This window comes from Homo sapiens, chromosome 5, assembly GCF_000001405.40.
Source record: "Homo sapiens chromosome 5, GRCh38.p14 Primary Assembly".
NCBI lineage: Eukaryota > Metazoa > Chordata > Mammalia > Primates > Hominidae > Homo > Homo sapiens.
The window spans coordinates 168,425,613-168,446,961 of record NC_000005.10 but is presented as its reverse complement, the minus strand read 5'-3'; the positions used below and the strand labels follow the sequence as shown (position 1 = coordinate 168,446,961).

Here is a 21,349-nt window from a genome sequence, read left to right as displayed (position 1 = left end):
CATATCTGTCTGAATTTAAAGCACATGCACTTAAGACCAACTTATTTTTCCTTCCAAATGGCAAGACTCATAGGCTGTGGCCATTTCCTACATGGGATTTACCCTGTTTCCAGCCAGTAGTGAGGAACGTTCCTTCTCTTTTTCCTAACAATGATTTCAACCATGTATTGAGGGTCTACTATGTGCTTTGCACCTGATCTTCATTAGTGCCTTTCCCTTGAGTCTCTTTCAGTAACCTCACATAGTCAGTATTATTTCCTCAGTTTTCAGATGAGGTTCAGACAAGGTTAGAGCGACTTGCCCAACAGTGACACAAGGTGTGGGCTTCTGTGGTGCTCGTCACATTCTGCTTCTTGATTTGGTGCTAGTTACAGAGGAGTTTTGCTTTCTGAAAATTCACTCAGCTCTATGCTTAGGTGAATTTTCTGCATGTATTTTACACTGCAATAGAAAGTTTAAAAAATACTTTGCCTAAGGTTACACAAAACATGAAAAATCCAAGTTTCAAACCCTCGTCTATGTCATTGTTTCTTAAAGTGTATGATGAGACCTTTCTCATAATACAAGGAATTAAATAACACTGAATCACAAAGTGAGAAAGTTGTCCCCTTTTCAATGTTCAGACATTTTGATTACATCAGGGAGAAAGTCTCTCTTCGGCAATAGCATGTCTTCAACATTGCTGAAACACTTGCTAACCTTTTTTTTTTTTTTTTTTTTTTTTTTTTTAATAATGGGAGAGAAGGCTCAGGCTTAGCAAGCAATATATCTAACTAGACTTTAATAATATTGCTTTATTTTCATTACACTGTGTTTTCCACAGTTACCTTTTGAAGCAGACTTGGCTCTTGGTCTACCCAGTATCCACTTTCTCCGTTAGTAACAGAAATTTGATTTTTGTACCCAAATAACAGACCTCATTCTCCAGTCTCCTTTGCAGTTAGGCAGGCTAAGTGGCTAAGCTTGGCCAATGAAAAGCAAGCAAAAGTTGCTGTGTGGGACATTCAGGAATGCTTCTTGGTTAACAGGTACACAGGCATGCTCTCTTTTGTCTTTCCTCTTTCCTGATGGTTACCTGCCTGATGGCTGGTGATCCAGCAGCCATCTTGGGCTATAAAGCAGCCTCGGTGATGGAGGTCACATAGTAAAGACAGCAAAGCAGACAGAGGAAAGGAGCCTGGATTCCCAGTAACACCATGGGGCTGACAGAATTGGATAGCCTTGGACTGCTTACTCTTTTTTTTTTTTTTTTTTTTTTTTGAGACAGAGTCTCACTCTGTCACCTAGGATGGAGTGCAGTGGCGCAATCTCGGTTCACTGCAACCTCTGCCTCCTGGGTTCAAGCAATTGTCCCCACCTCAGCCTCCTAAGTAGCTGTGATTACAGGTGCCCACCACCATGCCTGGCTAATTTTTGTATTTTTTAGTAGAAATGGGGTTTCACCATGTTGGCCAGGCTGGTCTCGAACTCCTAACCTCAGGTGATCCATCTGCCTCGGCCTCCCAAAGTGCTGGGATTACAGGCGTGAGCCACCACGCCTGGCCTCTCCCATTATTTTAAAAATTTTTTGAGATGAGGTTTCACTGTGGGTTCAAGCAATCCTCCTGCCTCAGCCTCCCGAATAGCTGGGATTACATTCTTCTTCTTTCTTTTGTTTTTTTGCTCTATCACCCAGGTTGGAGTGCAGTGGTGCAATCTCGGCTCACTGCAACCTCCCCATCCTGGGTTCAAGTGATTTTCCTGCCTCACCCTCCTGAGTAGCTGGGATTACAGGCGTGCCCCACCATGCCCAGCTAATTTTTGTATCTTTAGTAGAGACAGGGTTTCAACATGTTGGTCAGGCTGGTCTCGAGCTCCTGACGTCGTGATCCACCCACCTCGGCTTCCCAAAGTGCTGGGACTACAGGCATGAGCCACCGTGCCTGGCCCTCTTCTTCTTAAGTGAAGAAGAAGTAAACTTCTAATTTATTTCTGTCTAATATTTCTGCTCTCCATTCCTGAAAGTCAAATGCAATTCCCAAGAACTCTTTAATTTATGGCAAACTACACAAATTTTCCATTTAGAGTAACATAAAGTTTCTTTACTTTTTTTTTTTTTTAGCAAAATAAATGTCACTATATCAAGATAAAGAATAACATTAGGTGTGAACTAGCATAGGTGATTCATGGGAAACGAAATGGCAAATTCGAAAGGAATTCTGGGAACCATCGTACTAGGTTACATTGCCTTTTTGCCTGTAGAGAACCCATGAGGAGAGGGGTTCTCAGCCTTCCCAGTGGAACCCTTCTCTTAGTTGCACTGGCATTGGGGGATCTCATTGCTGGGCCTAGGTCCAGGCAGGGCAGCTCCTGGGGCCCAAGGGCGGGCTCACTCACCAGCTGTCTTCCAGTGTCTGTGTGCTGCTCCTGCCCTCCTGCCTCTTCTCCAGCTCCACTGCTGTCTGTTCCAACAGAGCAGACACAGCGTCCTATAGAGACAAAGGTTGCTGGGTCATTGGGTACAATGTAGGTGCCACCCTACCTGCCAGGAATCAGAGCATCTCAGAGCTGTGACCCTCCCAGTGAATTGATGGTGAAACCAAAGACCAGAGTGGTCAAGTGTCTTGCCCAAGGTCACTGATAAACTGGAAAAATTGTCCTTAATTCCTTCAACTAGCAGTTCTCCAGAGAATAGCTCCTGTATGTATGAACTTACTCAGCATCGTGATGGAAGATAGCCAAGTTTAGCAGTGAAGTGAGAGAGAATTAAGGTCTCTGACTGTAAGCAGACCACAGTGTCATCAGACCAATGTGTGAACCATCAGTAACATAACACAGTAAGGATATGACATAGAAGAGAGGTGAAAGGAGATAAGTACTGGCTGTTTGGGAACAGCGGAACAGTGATAAAGCTTGGGAAGTTGCATTCAGGGAGGGCTTCCTGAAAGAGGAACATTTATACTGAATGGTATCTACAGTGAAAAAGCCCATGTGACTTGAGGAAATTATTTAAACTCTCTGAGACTGTTTCCTCTAATAACTGCTAGAAAGGGTTGTTATGAAGATTAATTGAGACTCTACATGAGGAACACAGAAGAATACCTGGCACATAATTGGCACCCAGTAAATGGTAGCTAATACCAAAGCAAAAACTGGATCCTGTAGTTTTCTGAGCACATGGTTAATTTGTGGTTACCCTTGGTAGTGTGGGCCAGAGCCTGAAAAATTCCTGACATTTTCTTGTAAGAAGGGAAAGAGGGAACTAAAATCAACTGAAGGCCTGGTATATAGCAGGCACTGTGAAAGATGGTTTATGTGTAGCATCTTATTTAATCTTTACAACCATCCTGACAGGTGGGAATTATTATGACTCACTTGAGAAATGGGAAGGAGAGAACTAGTGTGTCTAGGGTTGATGTTACTTACTCAAGGTCATGCTCTAGAAAGGAGAGGAGTTTGTTTTCGAGACCTTTATCAGCTCACAGTCTCCTTTTGGAGTGAGAGACCTGGGTTTGAGACCTAGCTTTGCTGATGAGATGTACATCTTAATGTAATTTGGTTATCTCTCTGAGCCTTGGTAAACTGCACATAATAAACAGAACAGTGCCTGATGCAAAAGGAAGTACAGAAAATGATGATGATGATGATGACGATGAAAAAGAAGGTGGGGATGGGAGGGAAAGGAGAGGAGGAGGAGAAAGAGACAAAGAAAATAGACTTAATTTCTCTATTTGCTACCCTTATCTTTACCTGTATGTCCCAACCCATCCGCTCCATTGAAATTCTAGGCAGTGGCTGTCCAAACTAACCAAGTATCGACAGAGGGAACAACCGTTACAGAGAGGGAAGGATCATTACAGATGATTACAAGAAAACCTGAATCCAAAACACTCTCTATTTAACTTTTTTGATGTGGTCGGGATCCCATAGGAGTCCAATACCCCATATGTAAGACTAACTTCACTGCTCAACTGAGTTCTGACTAGTCTGCCTGGCCAGTAGGTGTGGGCTTTCCAAACGGGGGAGACAGTTTAAGGATATTTTAATACATTAAAGCGTACTGCGCTAAAATGAAAACAGAACATATTTTTTCACTGAAAATAAGCAAATATAAGCTTTTTTTTCTTTTCTTTTTTTTTTTTTTCTGAGATGGAGTCTTGCTCTGCTGCCCGGGCTGGAGTGCGACAGTGTAATCTTGGCTCACTGCAACCTCTGCCTCCCGGGTTTAAGCAATTCTCCTGCCTCAGCCTCCCTAGTAGCTAGGATTACAGATGACTGCCATCATGCTTGGCTAATTTTTAGAATTTTAGTAGAGACAGGGTTTCACCATGTTGGCCAGGGTGGTCTCAAACTCCTGACCTCAAGAGATCCTCCTGCCTTGGCCTCCCAAAGTGCTGGGATTACAGGCATGAGTCACCACGCCCGGCCAAGATTTTCAAATAACAAAGTCACAATGGAACAGTTACCAAGTGCTCTTTACATATATTTCTTCAAAGCATCATAAAAACTTTTTTTTTTAATTAAATTTTTTTTTTTTTTTTTTGTAGAGACAAGGCCTCACCATGTTGCCCAGGCTTGTCTTGAATTCCTGGCCTCAAGAGATCCTCCTGCCTCAGCCTCCCAAAGGGCTGGGATTATAGGCATGAGGCTCCGTGCCCATCCTCATAACAACCTTTTAAGGCTCATATTAGACATTAAAAATTGAAAGCTCAGAGAGGTGATATGACTGACCTAGCCCTCTGATTCTCTTCCCATGATTTCTAGCTGCCTCTTATACAAAGCCTCCAGTATGGACCTTGAACAAAGTAGGGGCCCAAGAAAGGTTAATCTTTTTCCTTCCACAGTTTTTTACCTTCTTCTCCACTTCATTTGTAAAAAATCATGAATTAAGGTTTTCGTTAGCCAAGTGGTATTAGGTAGGGCAAAGGACAGAAGGAGGAAACACAGATGTGGAAGGGAACAAGTTGCAGAAAGGGAGCCGCCTGCCCCTTAGTGGAGATCTCTCCTTCCCTGTCTTCTTCTCCTACTTCCTCCACCCCATTGTTCTCCTCTCATGACGCCTGATCACCTCCAGTTCTGGGAGAGGCTTTCCCTTCCAACATCCGGGTGCGGCCTTGTGGGAAGGTGGCACACCTGGTCCCAGCTCACCGTGCTGGCAGGCCCTGAGGCAGGGGCCATGACTCCCACTGGCTTGAGCTCCCTGCTCTGTTTCTTCAAGTATTTGTAGCTGAGAAGGTTGTACCAGCGAGTCGACCTCTCCCCAGACCGGCAGACCTCCGCCAGGCTGATCTGGGCGCCTCCCTGTTGGGGATGGAAACAAGGAGAACATAAGTGGCGGTGGGGGGGACACCAGGTGTCAGGGAATTTGGTTCAAGAGGACAGTATGGAAAAAACACCACTCCAGATGAGAGGTAGGCATCCCGGCAGGAAGAGAGGCCAAGTTGTTAACATTTCCAATTAGCTCATTTGTTCATTCATTCATTGATTGATTGGTTTAATCATTTGCCAAATCTTTATTGAAGACTTATCCTATGAATTTTTTTAATTAAAAAAACTGTGATAAAAAAACCTTTAGTTTACCATCTTTGCCGCTTTTAAGTGCACAGTTCAGTGGTATTAAACATTACGCACATTGTTGCAAAAGAGATCTACTGAACATTCTCATCTTGCAAATCTGAAACTCTACACTTACTAAGCAACAACCTCTTTTTCCCCTTCCCCACAGCTCCTGGTAACCACCACTATATTTTCTGTTTCTATGAATTTGATGACTTTCGATACCTCATATAATTGGAATCATATAGCATTTGTCTTTTTGTGACTGGCTTATTGAACTTAACAATGCCTTCAAGGTCCACCTGTGTCGCAGCATGTATCAGAATTGTATTCCTTTTTTGTTGCTGTTATTTTGGAGGTAGGGTCTCACTCTGTTGCCCAGGCTGGAGTGCGGTGATGCGGTCATACCTCACTGTAATCTCGAACTCCTGGGCTAAGAGATCCCCCTTTCTTTTTAAGGCTGAATAATATTCCACTGTATGGGTATGCTACATTTTGCTTATCCAGCCATCTGTTGATGGACATTTGGGTTACTTCTACCTCTTCACTATTGTGAGCAGTGTTGCCATGAACATGAGTGTACAAGTAATTCTTTAAGAACCTGCTTTCAGGCCGGGCGCGGTGGCTCACGCCTGTAATCCCAGCACTTTGGGAGGCTGAGGTGGGTGGATCATCTGAGGTCGGGAGATCGAGACCAGCCTGACCAACATGGAGAAACCCCATTTCTACTAAAAATACAAAATTAGCCGAGCGTGGTGGCGTATGCCTGTAATCCCAGCTACTCGGGAGGCTGGGGCAGGAGAATTGTTTGAACTCAGGAGATGGAGGTTGCAGGTGAGATGAGATCGTGCCATTGCACTCCAGCCTGGGCAACAAGAACAAAACTCTGCCTCAAAAACAAAACAAAACAAAACAACAACAACAACAACAACAAAACCCTGCTTTCAATTCTCCTGAATATATGCCCAGAAGTACAATTGCTAGGTCATATGGTAGTTACATTTTTAATTTTTTAGTGGAACTACTACACTGTTTACCTTAAGACTTGCTAAGGGAGTGCTTATAATCCCACCAACAATGCACACGAGTTCCAATTTCTCTACATCTTCACCAACACTAGTTATTTTGTGTGGTTTTTGGATAGCCATCATCCAAATATGTGTGAGGTGGTATCTCATTGTGGTTTTGATTTGCATTGCTCTGATAACTAGTAATGTTGAACATCTTTTCACATGCATATTGGCCATTTGTATATTAATTTTGGAGAAATGTCTATTCAAGTCCTTTCCCCTTTTCAAATTGGGTTGATTTTTTTGTTGTTGAATACCCATTCTGTGTTACTTATATTAAGCACTAGGTTCTGTGTTAGGTACTGAGGATAATGATGGTCCCCACCTGGTTCCACCTTCTGGGAGCCAGCACTCTCCCAAGGAACTCAGGAACTGAACAAGTAATTAATTCCAAGTGAGGTAGAAAACTGTGTATCATTTCTTCTCCACTAAATTTGCAAAAGTTTAAAAAATTGACAACAAATGCCATTGGTGAGGTTATGGGGAAATAGGCCCTCTCTCACCTTGCTCGTGGAAATGTAAAATGGCAGAAACCCGACGGAAGGAATTTAGTCATATCTAGCAAAAATATAAATGCATTTTACCCTTCGACCGAATAATTCTCCTTGTAGCTGTCTATCCCACAGATACACCTGCAGAAACCTGCACAAGTACAAAACGACCCACAAACAAGAGTCTTCATTCTGACCCTCTTTGTAATAGCGAAAGATTTTTTTTTTTTTTTTTGAGACAGAGTTTTGCTCTTGTTGCCGAGGCTGCTGGAGTGCAATGGCATGGTCTTGGCTCACCACAACCTCTGCCTCCCAGGTTCAAGCAATTCTCCTGCCTCAGCCTCTGGAGTAGCTGGGATTAAGTGCCACCACGCCTGGCCTTTTTTTTTTTTTTTGTATTTTTAGTAGAGACGGGGTTTCTCCATGTCGGTCAGGCTGGTCTCGAACTCCCGATCTCAGGTGATCCACCCACCTCAGCCTCCCAAAGTGCTGGGATTACAGGTGTGAGGCACCCGGCCAATAGCGAAAGATTTTAAATGACCCAAAGGTCCAGCAACAGGGAACAGACTAAAAGAACTATAATCTATCCATACAATGGAATATTATATAGTCATGTAAAAAAGAGGAAGATCTCTTTTTACTGATGCAGAGAGATGGCCAGGCTATATTGTTAAGGGAAGAAAATAGCATGGTGCAGAAAAGAATATATAATATGCTACCTTTTGTGCAAGAGAGTGGGGTAAGTATATCTGTGTCTATAGTCTATCTACATATTGCACCATGCTTGAGGTGCCAGGGGGAGTGACCATGATCATATGTGCACAAGAAATAATGGAAAGATGCAAAAGAAATTAATCAAAGTGGTCACCTATATAGGATAGATGGTGAGGCTGGGGTGGGGAAAGAGCATGATTTCTCTTCAGTAAACCTTTCCATACAATTTTTCTTTGAATTATGTAAATATATCCCTTAAAATAAAAACAAACTATAACAAACTAACCTGACTGACTATAAGCTCACAGAGAAGGGGATTATTTCAAGTGACTTAATATTTTTACTGTTTTTTTTTTCCCCTACAGCCTTCCTAGAAATTACTACAAACTAATTAATCATTCCTCAGAGGCTTTATTGTTTCGACATGTGCAAAAATGAGCCCTGGTCAGGTTTGGGAAGGTGGTCAGCTCACCTTCCCCTAACACACCAGTGTCGGTGGGTGGAACCAGACTCTGTGCTGATGGGTGGTAGAAATACCAAATGCCAGTTTGCAAAATGGACCTGTAGCCAAGTGTATTAATCCGTTCTCATGCTGCTAATAAAGGCATACCCGAGACTGAGTCATTTATAAAAGAAAGAGGTTTAGTTGACTCACAGTTCAGCATGGCTGGGGAGGCCTCAGGAAACTTATAATCATGGCAGAAGGGGAAGCAAACACTTCCTTCTTCACATGGTGGCAGCAAAGAGAAGTGCCGAACAAAAGTGGGAAAAGCCCCTTATATAACCATCAGATCTCATGAGAACACACTCACTATCATGAGAACAGCAGCATGGGGGTAACAGCCCCCATGATTCAATTACCTCCCACCAGGTCCCTCCCACAACACATGGGGATTATGGGGGCTACAATTCATCAAGATGCACTGGAACGTGGCAGGGCTGTGCTAGGTCTGGGACAGTGAAAGGTGGTTTCTGAGAGCACGGTGTTGAGTGGGGAAAGGAAGAAAGCACAATGCTGACACTTCACTTGTTTAGCACCAGCTTCCTCATCTGGAAAACAGGGAAAATCACTCCTACCTACCAGCCTATTGGGAGGATCAGAGGTAATTAAATGCTTGGCACACTTCAGACACCCAGAATAAATGTACATATATACAAATATTTGTCTAATACTTATTTATTCATTCAGTAAAAACTCCCTAAGCCCTTCGCAGACTCTGGAGCCACAGAAGCATGTAAGACATGATTCTTCCCCAAAACGGGTCTCGTGGTTTCCTAGGGGGATAGACAGCTATTTGGATATTACAGTTCAGAACATGCCAGGCCATGTGTGAGGTATGAGGGGAAAAGACCAGGATCACAGCTTTGAGGTGTAACACCTCCAGCAGATTATTATTAATTCTAACAAGATATACTGTTTATCTGGGGCGGGCTCACAGGTGTGAGTATTGTCTACCTCAGTAAACTGGATGCACTTTTGAGGGCATTTACGTATTCATTCATTCATTTATTCAACACACAAAAATCTGCTGAGAAGTCTTATGTGCCAGGCACTGTTCTGGGTGCTGGAGATAGAGCAGAATTGAAGGCAGATAAATATTCCTGCCCCATGACCTTATATTTGCATCTAGGGGGATCAGATAACAACTCCATAGGTAAACTCCACACTGTGTTTCATCGAATCTAAGATGCCATCATTTAAAAGTGTACCATTATTTTATGCACCAAGAAAGAGAAATAGTTGCCAATGAAACTATAACCTGTCATCTAGTACATAGTGCATCTTGATTTCAGAAGTAAAATGTAGAGATAACATGTACCCTAGAATCTATGACGTACAGTGAAATGTTAGGTGATAAAAGGTGCTGTAGGGAAAATACTACAGGGAAAGGGGCTAGGAGGGGATAAGACAGCAGAGAGGGTAATGGGATTTATATAGGGTGGAAGACCTCACAGAGAAGGTGACATTTGAATAAAGTCCAGAAGGAGGTGAGGGAGCACCTGGGAGGACAGAATGCCAGGCAGAGGACACAGCAAGTGCAAAGGCCCGGAGGGGAGCACATGTTGGTGTGTGTATTCAAGGAACACGAGGCTGGAGGAAGAGTTTTGGGGATATAATCCCAGAGATTTTAATAAGTGGCCAAATCCCAAGGGGCCTTGGAGGCCAGGCAAAGGACACAGGTGTTGACTCTAGGTGGAGACATATGCCATCATAAGGTTTTAGCAAAAGAATGGCATGCACTGATTTACATTTAAACAGGATTAGTCTGGCTACTCTGTTGAAAAAAGAGGAAGGGGAAAAGGACAGAAGCCGGGAAACCAAGTAGGAGATGGCTGCCATCATCCAGGTAAGGGAAGACAGTGGCTTGGGTCTGGGGAAGTGGTGAGAAGTGGAATCTAGGGTTCTTTTGAAGGTGGAGCTAAGAGGATGGGGTGAGGGAAAGAGAGGGGTTAAGGATGATTGCAAGGTGTCTGGCCTGAGCAATGGAAGAATGAGATTGCCATCGGCTGAGACAGCGGAGACACAGGATGAAAGGTCAGGGGCATTCTTGTGGCCATGTTCGTTTGAGGTCCTATTTTACGTTTAAGTGAAGATGCAGAACAGGCAGTGGAGATACAAGATTCGAGGCGAGTGCGGAGGCCCATGCTGGAGCCCTGCACTTGGGATGGGTTTGCAGCTGGGAGATAAAATGAGATCACCAAGGAAATGAGTAGAAAAGGGGAGGATCAAGGACCCAGCCCTGGGCCCTCTGATATAGGGAGGTCAGGGAAATGAGGAAGAATCAGCAAAGGAGACCAACATGCTAGAGGTGAGGGGAGAACACTGGAAGAGCGAGGTAACCAGGAGGCCAAGCAAGGGCAAAGGATTTTGAAGGAGGTGGAGTCAGCAACTGTGGCAAATGTAGCTGGCAGGTCCAGAAGGAAGATGGAGAGCTGGCCTCTGGTCTGGTAACAAGGAGCTCCCTGAGGAACATGAAGAGCACACCCTCGGTACAAAGATGAGGGCCAGGCCAGGCACGGTGGCTCACGTCTGTAATCCCACCACTTTCGGAGGAAAAGGTGGGTGGATCGCTTGAGGTCAGAAGTTTGAGACCAGCGTGGCCAACATGGGGAAACCCCATCTCTAATAAAAATACAAAAATTAGCCAGGTGTGGTGGCGCGTGCCTATAGTCCCAGCTACTTGGGAGGCTGAGGCAGGAGAATGGTTTGGACCCGGGAAGCGGAGGTTGCAGTGAGCCAAGATCACGCCATTGCCCTTCAGTCTGGGCAACAGACTCTGTCTCAAAAATAAAAAAAAAGAAAAAAGAAAGATGAGGGCCAAAGTCCACATGGATTGGGTTACAGAGAGGAAGGGAACACCTCTTTCAAGTTTTTCTATAAAGAAAGGGAAAGAAACAATGTAGTAGTTGGAAGTGGAAATGGGGTGAAAAAAGTTTTAGGTCGGGTGTGGTGGCTCACGCCTGTAAACCCCAGCCCTTTGAGAGGCTGAGGCGGGAGGACTGCCTGAGCCCAGGAGTTCAAGACCAGCCTGGGCAACATAGTGAGACCCCATCTCTACAAAAAATACAAAAATTAGCCGGCCATGGTGGCATGTGCCTGTAGTCCCAGCTATGGGAGAGGCTGAAGTGGGAGGATCACTTGAGCCCAGAAGGTCAAGGCTGCTGTGAGCTGAGTTCACAGCACTGCACTCCAGCCTGGGCAACAAAGCAAGATCCTCTGTCAAAAAAAATTTTTTTGTTTTGTTTTGAGCATGGGAGAAATAACAGCATGATGATATACTGATAGGCTGGATCCAGTGGAGGAGGGAAAATTGAAGATAGAGGAAAGAGCGGAATGGCTGCTGGAGTAATGTCCTTGCGAGAAAATGGGGGTGGTGGCCTCAGACAGGAGTGCAGAAGGCCCACCCTCAGAAGCCAGGGAAATGGCAGAACCTACAAGAACAGCCAGATATGGTGTGGGGGCCCTCTTCTGAGTCTGTCCTCTCTTCTCTCCCTGAGAGAAGTATGAATTAGTCATTGTGATGAGTGGGTGAGTAAATGGTCCAGGGAGATACAGTATAATTTCTGGGCAGCATTGAGGGCTCATGGGAAGTGAGTGATCACCATTTCCAAATGATACCATACAGCGTGGTTGTGTGCATTTTTTTTTCCAGTTGCTCAGTTGGAGAGGAGGGGGTGGAGAGTTCACTTTGACAGGGCTGGGTTTTGCCAAGTTAGTATGCCAAAGTGAGAGGAGGCAAGGGAACGGTTGTAATGGTGAACCATGGGACGTCAGTGGGGCCTGAGAAGCAGGCTAGCTCGAGAGAGCCCGGGCTGGGTGGCATTGAGCTCAGCAGTAGAGCAGTGGGCAACTAGGCTCCCTGTGATGCCATGCAGGGCATTTGGTGGAACTGTTGCCTGCGATATTGGGAAGGTGGGCTGTGTATTCCTCCAAACCTGTAATCTGGGTCTGGGGACATGAGAGACACTCATAGTAACCCCCTGAGAAGTAGCATGGTGAGATGGCTACACATAAGGAAGCTGGAGTCTCTGTTCAAATCCAGGCTTTGCCATTTTCTCCTTGGATGACCTGGCAGCTTACTTAGCCTTTCTGGGCCTTGATCCCTTATCTTCCTGGGGCCATCACGAAGATTAAATGAGATACTGCACATGAAGTTCTTAGCCCACTGGTAGACACATAGACTCAACTCAGTACAGATGCTGTTGCTGCCTGGCTGAAAACAGACTGGGGATTCCACACATCCTGCTGTCCGGAGTCTCTGCGTGGGAGAGGACAGGCCTTTTTCCTCCCATCTCACTTCCTCTCCTCCTCCAGCCACCAGAATACGACAGCCTGACACTCCATGTCCCCACCGTATATGGGAAAGGAGGTTTCCCATTGGCCGCAGGCAGAGACAAGCCACAGTGAGATGAGCGCTTTGGCTGCTGCCATGGCAACCAGCAATGACCAGACTTCAATTAGGAAGGAGGAATAAAAGGCATCCAATTAGGAGAAGAAAATAGGATTGAGCCTCTTCTCGCTTAGGAATGCCCAGGGCCAAGGGAATGCTTCGCTGGAGGAGCCCAGGCTTGCCAACCCCTTCAAGTCACCACCCCCATCTCTGGGCTCCAGGGAGCCCTGTGCTGGCAAAGAGACAACACAGAGGCGCTGACGTGTGTGGACTTCAGAGGGAGACCTGCTGGGGTTCAAATACGGCTTCTGCCACTTTCCTAACTGTGACAGGAAAGGTCTTTCACCTCTTTGTGCCTCAGTTTCTCCACTGGAATACGCTACCTATTTTGCAAGGTTGGAGTGAGGATCAATAGAGATAATGGGCTGGGGTGGTGGCTCACACCTGTAATCCCAGAACTTTGGGAGGTGGAGACAGGCGGATCACTTGAGGTCAGGAGTTCAAGATCAGCCTGGCCAACATGGCAAAACCCCGCCTCTACTAAAAATACAAAAATTAGCCGGGTGTGGTGGTGGGCGCTTGTAGTCCCAGCTACTCTGGAGTCTAAGGCAGGAGAATTGCTTGAATCTAGGAGGTGAAGGTTTCAGTGAGCCAAGATCACGCCACTGCACTCCAGAGACTGAGAGCAGGACTCAGTCTAAAATAAAAAAAACAGATAATGCATGTAAAGAGCTTAACTCAGTGCCTGCCATATAAACTGCAACCTACTGGTATTAACTACTGCATTATTGTCAGTAACAACATCAATAGCAGTGATGCTGTGTTGTACCCAGCTAAGAAGGAGAGATGGGAACCGATATCCAGTGAGCACAAACTGCAAACACTTTGCTGCTCTACATTCTTGCTACCCAAAGTGTGATCCAGGAACCAGCAGCATTGGCCTCACCTGGGAGCTTATTAGAAATGCAGAATCTCAGGTTCTGCTCCAGACTTGCTGAATCAGAATCTGCATTTAGCCAGAGCTCCAGGTAACTTGTGTGCATGGCACAGTTTGAAGCGCTGCTTCAGCGCCTTAGTTAGTCTTCAGAGAACCACCTCCAGGAAGGCAGTATGAGCCAGATTTTACAGATAAGGGAACTGAGACTAAGAATTGAAGACTGTGAGGAGACACAGCTGGAAGGGCAAGGCTGGTGACAGCCCCAGGCCACAATCCAAGGATGTGGCCCCACAATGCCATGATAGAGAAGGGTTTTATAGCGCATGCAGATCAAGGCAAGGATGGAGAGCAAAGAGATTCCCTTCTCTGGGCAAAGGTCTGTGATTTACAGCAGGAGAAAGGGGCGAGCCCTCCAAGAAGGCAGTGAGAGGCTCTACATTCCAGCTTCCAGAAATGGAGGCAGGAGAGGCTCGGAGAGGTGTATACATCTTGTTTTTCCCCTTTGCACATACCCCACATTTTCCTCCATCACTTCAACCCATCCATTTCCAACACGGCCCTCCTCACAGTTTGTTTACATCTTAGCCATCAATGCTGGCACCTTGTCTGTTTGGTTCCCCATTGAATCCCCAGCCCCAGACACAGGGGTGGGGACACAACAAGCTCCCAGTACAGATCTGAGCATGAGTGGAGCGACCTTCTAGGTATAATGCCCACACTTGGGCTCCTTTGTGCCCACAGTTGAGTTATCATTAAAATATTCTAACACTAAATGGCATCAGGGTTAACAAAGCCCTTTACTTCTTCTAATTCACTTGTACATCACAAGCCCGAGTTAGCTATTATATAAATCCCCCTTCTACAGATGGGAAAGCTGAGTATCTGTCTGCACTTGGGTCTGCCTGTCTCTTAGGACAAAATGTACTTGGGCTACTTCATCCCCAGTCCTGACTCCTGCCAATGCAGTGAGAGATGGAAGCCGGAGAAGGTCAGTTTCAGGGAGGAGGCTGGCAATGGCCCCACTAAACGAGAACCCACTGTGGATCAGACACTTGAATAGGTGTTTTACGGGTGCTATCTCAATCCTTATAAAGATTCTTCCAGTGGGCATGATGGAGGCATTATCATTTGCATTTTAGGGATAAGAAAAATGAGGATCAGAGATGTTAAGTACCTTGCCCAAGGTCATCCAGCTATACAGCAAGTGGTAAAGGTGGGATGTGAATGCCTATGTGTTTGCTTTCATTACTCTGTGCTTTTTTTTTTTTTTTTTTTGACACAGGGTTCTGCTGTTGCCCAGGCCAGAATGCTGCGGCATGATCAGCTCATTGCAGCTCAAGGGATCCTCCCATCTCAACCTCCAGAGTAGCTAGGACTACAAGCATGCACCACTATGCCTGGCTAATTTTATTTTTTGTAGAGATGGGGTCTTGCTGTGTTGCCCAGGCTGCTTTCGAACTCCTGCACTTGAGTGATCCTCTGGCCTTGGCCTCCCAAAGGGTTGGGATTACAGATATAAGCCACCACACAGCCATAGTCTGTGCTTCTTATCTAATCTCTCATGCTGTATAGTAAAGCTGCAGTATGTGGCTTTTTCCAGGTTCTGGCAGTTTTAAAAGGCACTTTCAGGTCCATTACTCTTCCTCTTGTGAAAGAGCTCCTTCCCTCCCACCCTAAGTCTGAGAACAACATTCACCTGTGGAAGCCTCGCTGCCTAGAATCCAAGATGAGCCTGATTGATAGCACAACCTGCGTCTCCTTCGAACCTTCTTCCTGAAGCTCAGGGTAGACCAATCCCCATAAACACAGAAGGCCGGTCAGCCAGCCAGCCAGCCAGCCAGCCAGCCAGCCAGCCAGCCAGCCAGACACGGCCCTTACCAGGCACTCTTCCAGATGGCTCCTGTCGGTGGTACAGACATCGACTCTTAAGGTCTTCTGGTGAAGGGCTGGATAGGACATGGATACCCAGAACACCTCATTGAACACTAGAGTGTCTGAGGCGTCCAGAGGCCGGGTCCGGAACAGGCAGGTTGTGCTTTCAGAGCAAGGAAGGACAGCCACGCGGATATTCCTAGAGGGAGACAGAACCGCAGGAAATCTTGGGTCAGCCCATGTCTGGGGCTAAAATGTTGGACTAAACAGCTGCTGAAATCCCTAAGCAAACAACAGTGGATGAGAGTTTGTAGAAGTGAGGAATCTGGGGAATCAGGCCCCTATACACTGGAAGGAACTTTGACAAATCGAACAAAATTCCAGATGCATTTGTCCTTTGGTCCAGACCCTTCACTTCTAGGCATTATCCCACAGATGCCCCTGCATGAGTACCAGTGAGCTATGGAGGAGGCTATTCAGCCTGGCACTGTCTGTGTGGGCAGAAGACTGAAATTGACCCAAGCATCCCATCTTGTCTTCCTTCCGTTTTGTCCGCCTTCCTGCCCTTTCTTCTTCCCACATGTGCCACCCTCACAGGCTGGCTGAGTGTAGACCACAGACACATAAGCTTCTGTTGCCACCCTCCAGGCCTTACGATCAGAGAAAACTTGGAGGCAGATGAGTGCAATAAAGGATAAACCCATCTACCATGGGAGGAGCCCACAGGCAGACAGAGCAGGTGTTTGCATCCTACCAGCATCAAGGTAACACGCAGTCACACCCCTCCAAGAGAAGCAGTGACTGGTGTTGACTCTTGGAAACAGAAGACCTATCTCTCTCTGCAAGAAACACTTGAGCTTAGGAGAAGATAAAACAGACTGTGACCATTCTTCTCCATGAGGCTCAAAGTCCAGGAGGGTAGGGCCCAGGAAGGATCTGCTCACCACCCCATTCCTAGAGCTGGCATGCAGCAGGTGCTCAGCACGTAATGGGGCAGGAATTCACACAGTCATCTAGAGAGTGCTTGTCTTTACAGTTGGTGTGCTTGCCGTTGTGCCTGTATTCACATGCACAGCACCGACATTCAGCATCACAGTCATATGCAGTACAAACCCACAGTGCCTTGACAAGGCCCATAACTGGATCAGGACAGGGCAGAAAAGTGACCCCCAGGGGTAACTCCAGAGGGTTAGGGTATGAAATACACCTGTCCAGCTACATACTCACACTTTCTGGTCTTGTTGCTGCAACAGAGCAGAAAGGTTACTCAGCTGGATGATTAATATTGCAAATTGCTTATTCTTCTCATCATACCTGAAATGAAAAGGGGCATATGAAGTACCTATTAGTAACACACTCATCTCTCTCATTCCTTCTCTCCATTAAAAGTCACAGGACGTGGCTGTTGGCTGCCCTGGGGCCTATGGTGAGCTCTAGAGCACAGGCCCAGTGCTTTGCTGCCATGCAGGGATGTAGAGCTAGAGCTGCCAATTGTTTGAAAATTTTTTTTTTGTTTTGAAACAGGGTCTCACTCTGTCATCCAGGTTGAGTGCAGTGGCATGATCGGGGCTCATGGTAGCCTCGACCTCCCAGGCTCAGGTGATCCTCCCACCTCAGCCTCTCAAGTAGCTAGGACTACAGGTGTTCACCACCACACCCAGCTAATTTTGTGTATTTTTAGTAGAGATGGGGTTTCATCATGTTGCCTGGGCTGGTCCTGAACTCCTGGAATCAAGTGATTCCTCTGCCTCAGCCTCCCAAAGTGTCAGGATTAAAGGTGTGAGCCACCACACCCAGCCAGTTGTCTGAATTTTTAAAAAGAACCCATAAATGCGGGTGAAATTTCATGATATGGAAATGTTGTCAACTAATTCCTATTAAAAAATATTGAAGGCCAGGTGTGGTGGCTCATGCCTGTAATCTCAGCACTTTGGGAGGCCAAGGCGGGCAGATCATTTGAGGTCAGGAGTTTGAGACTAGCCTGGCCAACATGGTGAAACTCCATCTCTATTAAAAATACAAAAGTTAGCCGGGCGTGGTGGCACACACCTGTAATCCCAGCTACTTGGGAGGCTGAGGCAGGAGAATCGCTTGAACCCAGGAGGCAGAGGTTGCAGCGAGCTGAGATCACACCACTGCACTCCAGCCTGGGTGACAGGTGAGACCCTGTCTCAAAAAAAAAAAAAAAAAAAAATTGAGATCATATCATCCCCCAACAAAAGAAAACAAAAAGAACAACCATGTGTGTATTGACCCAATCTGGGCTGCAGCCCCCAGTGATCAACTTCCATCCAGATCAATGAAACCTAGATGGGATGGAAAGACAAAAGCCACAGCAACAATGAACAAACACACTGAGAGGCAGGAGGTCTCAGTCCCAGTCCTGGCTCTGCTACCAGCCAGCTCAGTGAGTTGGGCCAAGTCATAAGGTCTTTTAAAACCCCATTTCTCCAACCTCATTTCTCCTATCTGTAAAGCGGATGGCTGGGAGGTGAGGAACGAATCAGCATCCCTTCAGTTAAGAAGCTGCAATGGCCAGCAGGTCCTGCTGGTGCTGCCTTCCACCCTGGGCGGCTGTGAAGGTAAATGCTGGGGAACGCTGTGGATGAAGAAGGGACCCCACACAGACCGTTCCTTCTGTCCTCCTCGTCCTCGTCACTTACTTCAGGGCAATCTGAATTCGGGTCGCACCCACTGCTTCCGATTCGTCACTGTCAAATGCAGCAGCTTCTGAAGCACCCAGTCTGAAAGGCAACAGGGGAGGAGGAGTTAGGCTTCCCTACAGTGAACAAACTATTCTGGGAGGCTGAGGTTACATCCCCAGGAAGGAAAGTTGGGGTTTGCTCAGCTTCCCTTCAGGTCCTTTTTTAAATTTTAATTAAAAAAAATTTTTTTTAGAGATGGGGGCTCACTATGTTGCCCAGGCTGGTCTCGAACTCCTTGTATCAAGTGATCCTCCCACTGAAGCCTCCCAAGTAGCTGGGATTACAGACTCACACCACTATGCCCAGCTTGGACTCCTCTCTTAAGGGGCCTTCCCTTTCTCTAGTGCTTGCTCCTTAGCCATATACCTTTTTCGTAGCTACCACAGAACTAGCACTCCCCCAAACCTGAAGCATCTCTAACCCCAGGAAAAGTTATGCTGTCTGTGCCTTGGGCAGCCAAGAGGAAGGTGGGGTCATGCCCTCTTGGGGCTCCTCCCACACACTGTGGGGGCCAAAACCTAAGCCTCTCCACAGGCCTAGGCTCTGGATATTCAGAGTTCATGGCTTACAGGGCCACAGAGAGAGCCAGCACCCAGACACCTACCTCTGCACGGAAGCCTCGTACACACCACTGTCTCCAGCCACTGACTCGTCCGATACGGCGGCTGAGACACAGGCCACTTTCAGGCCACACCCCTGGGCCGTATTCACAGCTAGGGAAGGAAAATGGAAAGGCAGGTTCAGGAACCAGGAAACTGCCTTTGCGACTCCCAATTTTGTTTTGTTTTTGAGGCAGGGTCTCACTCATCCAGGCTGGAGTGCAGTGGCACAATCATGGCTCACTGCAGCCTCGACCACTTCGGGTTCTGGTGATCCTCCCACCTCCGCCTCCCAAATACTGGAACTACAGGCATGTGCCACCATACCCAGCTAATTTTTGAATTATTATTTTGTTGTAGAGATGGGGTTTTGCCATATTGCCCAGGCTGGTCTTGAACTCCTGGTCTTAGGCGATCTGCCTGCTTTGGCCTTCCAAAGTGTTGGGATTACAGGCGTCAGCGACTGTAATCCCAACACTTTGGGATTCGGGGAGCCTGAACTCCCAATTTTGATACACTCTCTATGGAAGACAGACGGTTCCACCAAATTCCAACCACCTCTAAATGCTAAAGCAAAAAAAAAAAAAAAAAAAAAAAATTAAAAAAAAGTTTGCTTTAGGGTGATGGAAGGAGTCACATGTGATTTTGTGTTTTACCATCCCAGGCTCTTGAGTCGAACTGCCTGGATTCAAATCCGGCTCCACCACTCACTGCTTCATGACCTTGAGATACTGACTTAATCCTGTTAAGCCTCAGATGCCTCATTTGTAAAACTTGGATAATAATACCTACTTATAGGGCTGTTGACAGGACTCAGCGAGACATTATAAGGGAAGTCCTTAATATAGAGATTGGTGCAGGCAGGCAAAGTGCTCTGCAAAACTCATTACAACTATCCTTATTGCCACTACTGTTCCTATCACTGTAGATATCCATACTTTCAATGGCAAAAACTGCAATTACTTTTGCATCAACCTAACAGATCCATCCCTACCCACCTGGGGCAAAATAACAGCCCCTGGACCCTCAGGACAGAGAAGGGAGAGATTAAGCACCCGTTCTTCCACTGCCTATCCCTTTCCACTCCGAATTCAGCTCCTCCTCTTCCCTAACCTTAACAGGGGCCCTTGAAAGTCTCTGATCTGAGGCTCATAACTAAGCACTCAACACGTGCTGCACATTCCTTCCTTGCCCAAGTAATGATCACTCACGATGTGCCAGGCCCATTGCCATGTTCAGAACTACAAAGATGAATAAGACAATTCCTGCCCTCCTTGCAGCGGGGAAGGCCAGATCCAGATCTTACAACCTCACAGCTAACACCTCTGAGCACCTGCGGGCAGACCGGAGCAGGGCAAGGGCTCGCAGCATTGAGGGGCACAGAGTCCAGGGCATGGCAGGCCGGGGACGGCGATGGGTGACAAGGCGGGTCTGGGAGACTGCAAGTGCTGGTGATGGGGAAGCTGAGCCTGCGTCCCATGCCTGCTGAGCCCGCGGAGACCTCCTGCTTTCAGACCCACGCATCTCCACCCTCCACTAAACCACTTAAGGAGATTAATTTGTCTGCTGACTGAACAGCGGCACTAATCACATAACCTGCTTAGCGTCTAAGCTCTGCCTGGCATTGCTTGCTGCAGGGAAGGCTTCTGGAGATGGCATGAAGGAAATGCCATCCCGAGACCTGTGTGTGCCCAGCCTAATGTGCTGTCTGAGGCCCACAAGCCCCAAAGACACTGTTAGGGAGGGGAGAGGAGGGGGTCACTTCACAGGACATAGCTGGGGTCTGAGTGTCCTGACTTGGCTTAATATTGATATCAGAGGCATGCTCTTTGAGCCTTGTTAGAGGTTCCACCTGCACCCCCTCCTCTCCAGGGAACAATTTTCTGAGGCTTGCCACCTGCTATAGTAGGGCGCTTGCTTTTATTTTGAGAGCACTCAGCAAGACTCCCTTCCTGATGAGGGAAACCCAGGGATCTCTCGGCTCCTCTTCTAAGGAAACCACTGGCACTCAAAGCCTTTCGTTAACAAGGAAACCTCATTTCCCTACCATGCTCCCACTGGCCCTTGTACACACATGGATAATTCTGGGCACAGCAGCACCACTCCTGCCCATGCCTGGAGCCACAGAGCTGACATGGGTCTGGCTGCTTCTAGCTGGCCTCACCTGGAGCCAGGAGCACCAGCTTTTTGTAGACAGAACTCAGCACATGGATAACAGTGTGCGTTCTGAGCAGGTGGTCCTTGTGCCAGTCCTGGTCTTGCCATTTCACTCTGTGGGACTAACCTCAGACAAGTCTTTTAACCTCACTGTGCCTCACTTTTTTCATCTTTAAGATGGGGATAAAAGGGGCTGGACTTGGTGGTTCACGCCTGTAATCCCAGCACTTTGGGAGGCCAAGGTGGGTGGATCAACTGAGGTCAGGAGTTCGAGACCAGCCTGGCCAACATGGTGAAAGCCCGCCTCTACTAAAAATACAAAAAAAAAAAATTAGCCAGGCATGGTGATGTGCACCTGTAATTCCAGCTACTCGGGA

The 21,349-nt window shown here is 46.8% G+C and overlaps 1 protein-coding gene across 18 annotated transcripts in view; it reads right to left on the bottom strand.

Moving 5' to 3' along the window:
* WWC1 (WW and C2 domain containing 1) overlaps window positions 1-21,349 on the bottom strand; it is a 180,659-nt gene that overhangs the window by 25,342 nt on the left and 133,968 nt on the right. For 10 of the 18 annotated variants that reach the window (XM_011534485.2, XM_011534486.2, XM_011534488.2 and 7 more), the window contains 6 exons: window positions 18,821-18,929; window positions 18,175-18,255; window positions 16,739-16,825; window positions 15,518-15,710; window positions 5,113-5,280; window positions 2,377-2,468 (listed from right to left, as the gene is read on the bottom strand). In XM_011534485.2, the coding sequence (XP_011532787.1) occupies window positions 2,377-2,468; window positions 5,113-5,280; window positions 15,518-15,710; window positions 16,739-16,825; window positions 18,175-18,255; window positions 18,821-18,929 (730 nt within the window). The remainder of the gene's footprint in view (window positions 1-2,376; window positions 2,469-5,112; window positions 5,281-15,517; window positions 15,711-16,738; window positions 16,826-18,174; window positions 18,256-18,820; window positions 18,930-21,349) is intronic. The other 8 variants (XM_011534487.2, XM_011534489.2, XM_011534491.2 and 5 more) reach the window with 1 other exon arrangement.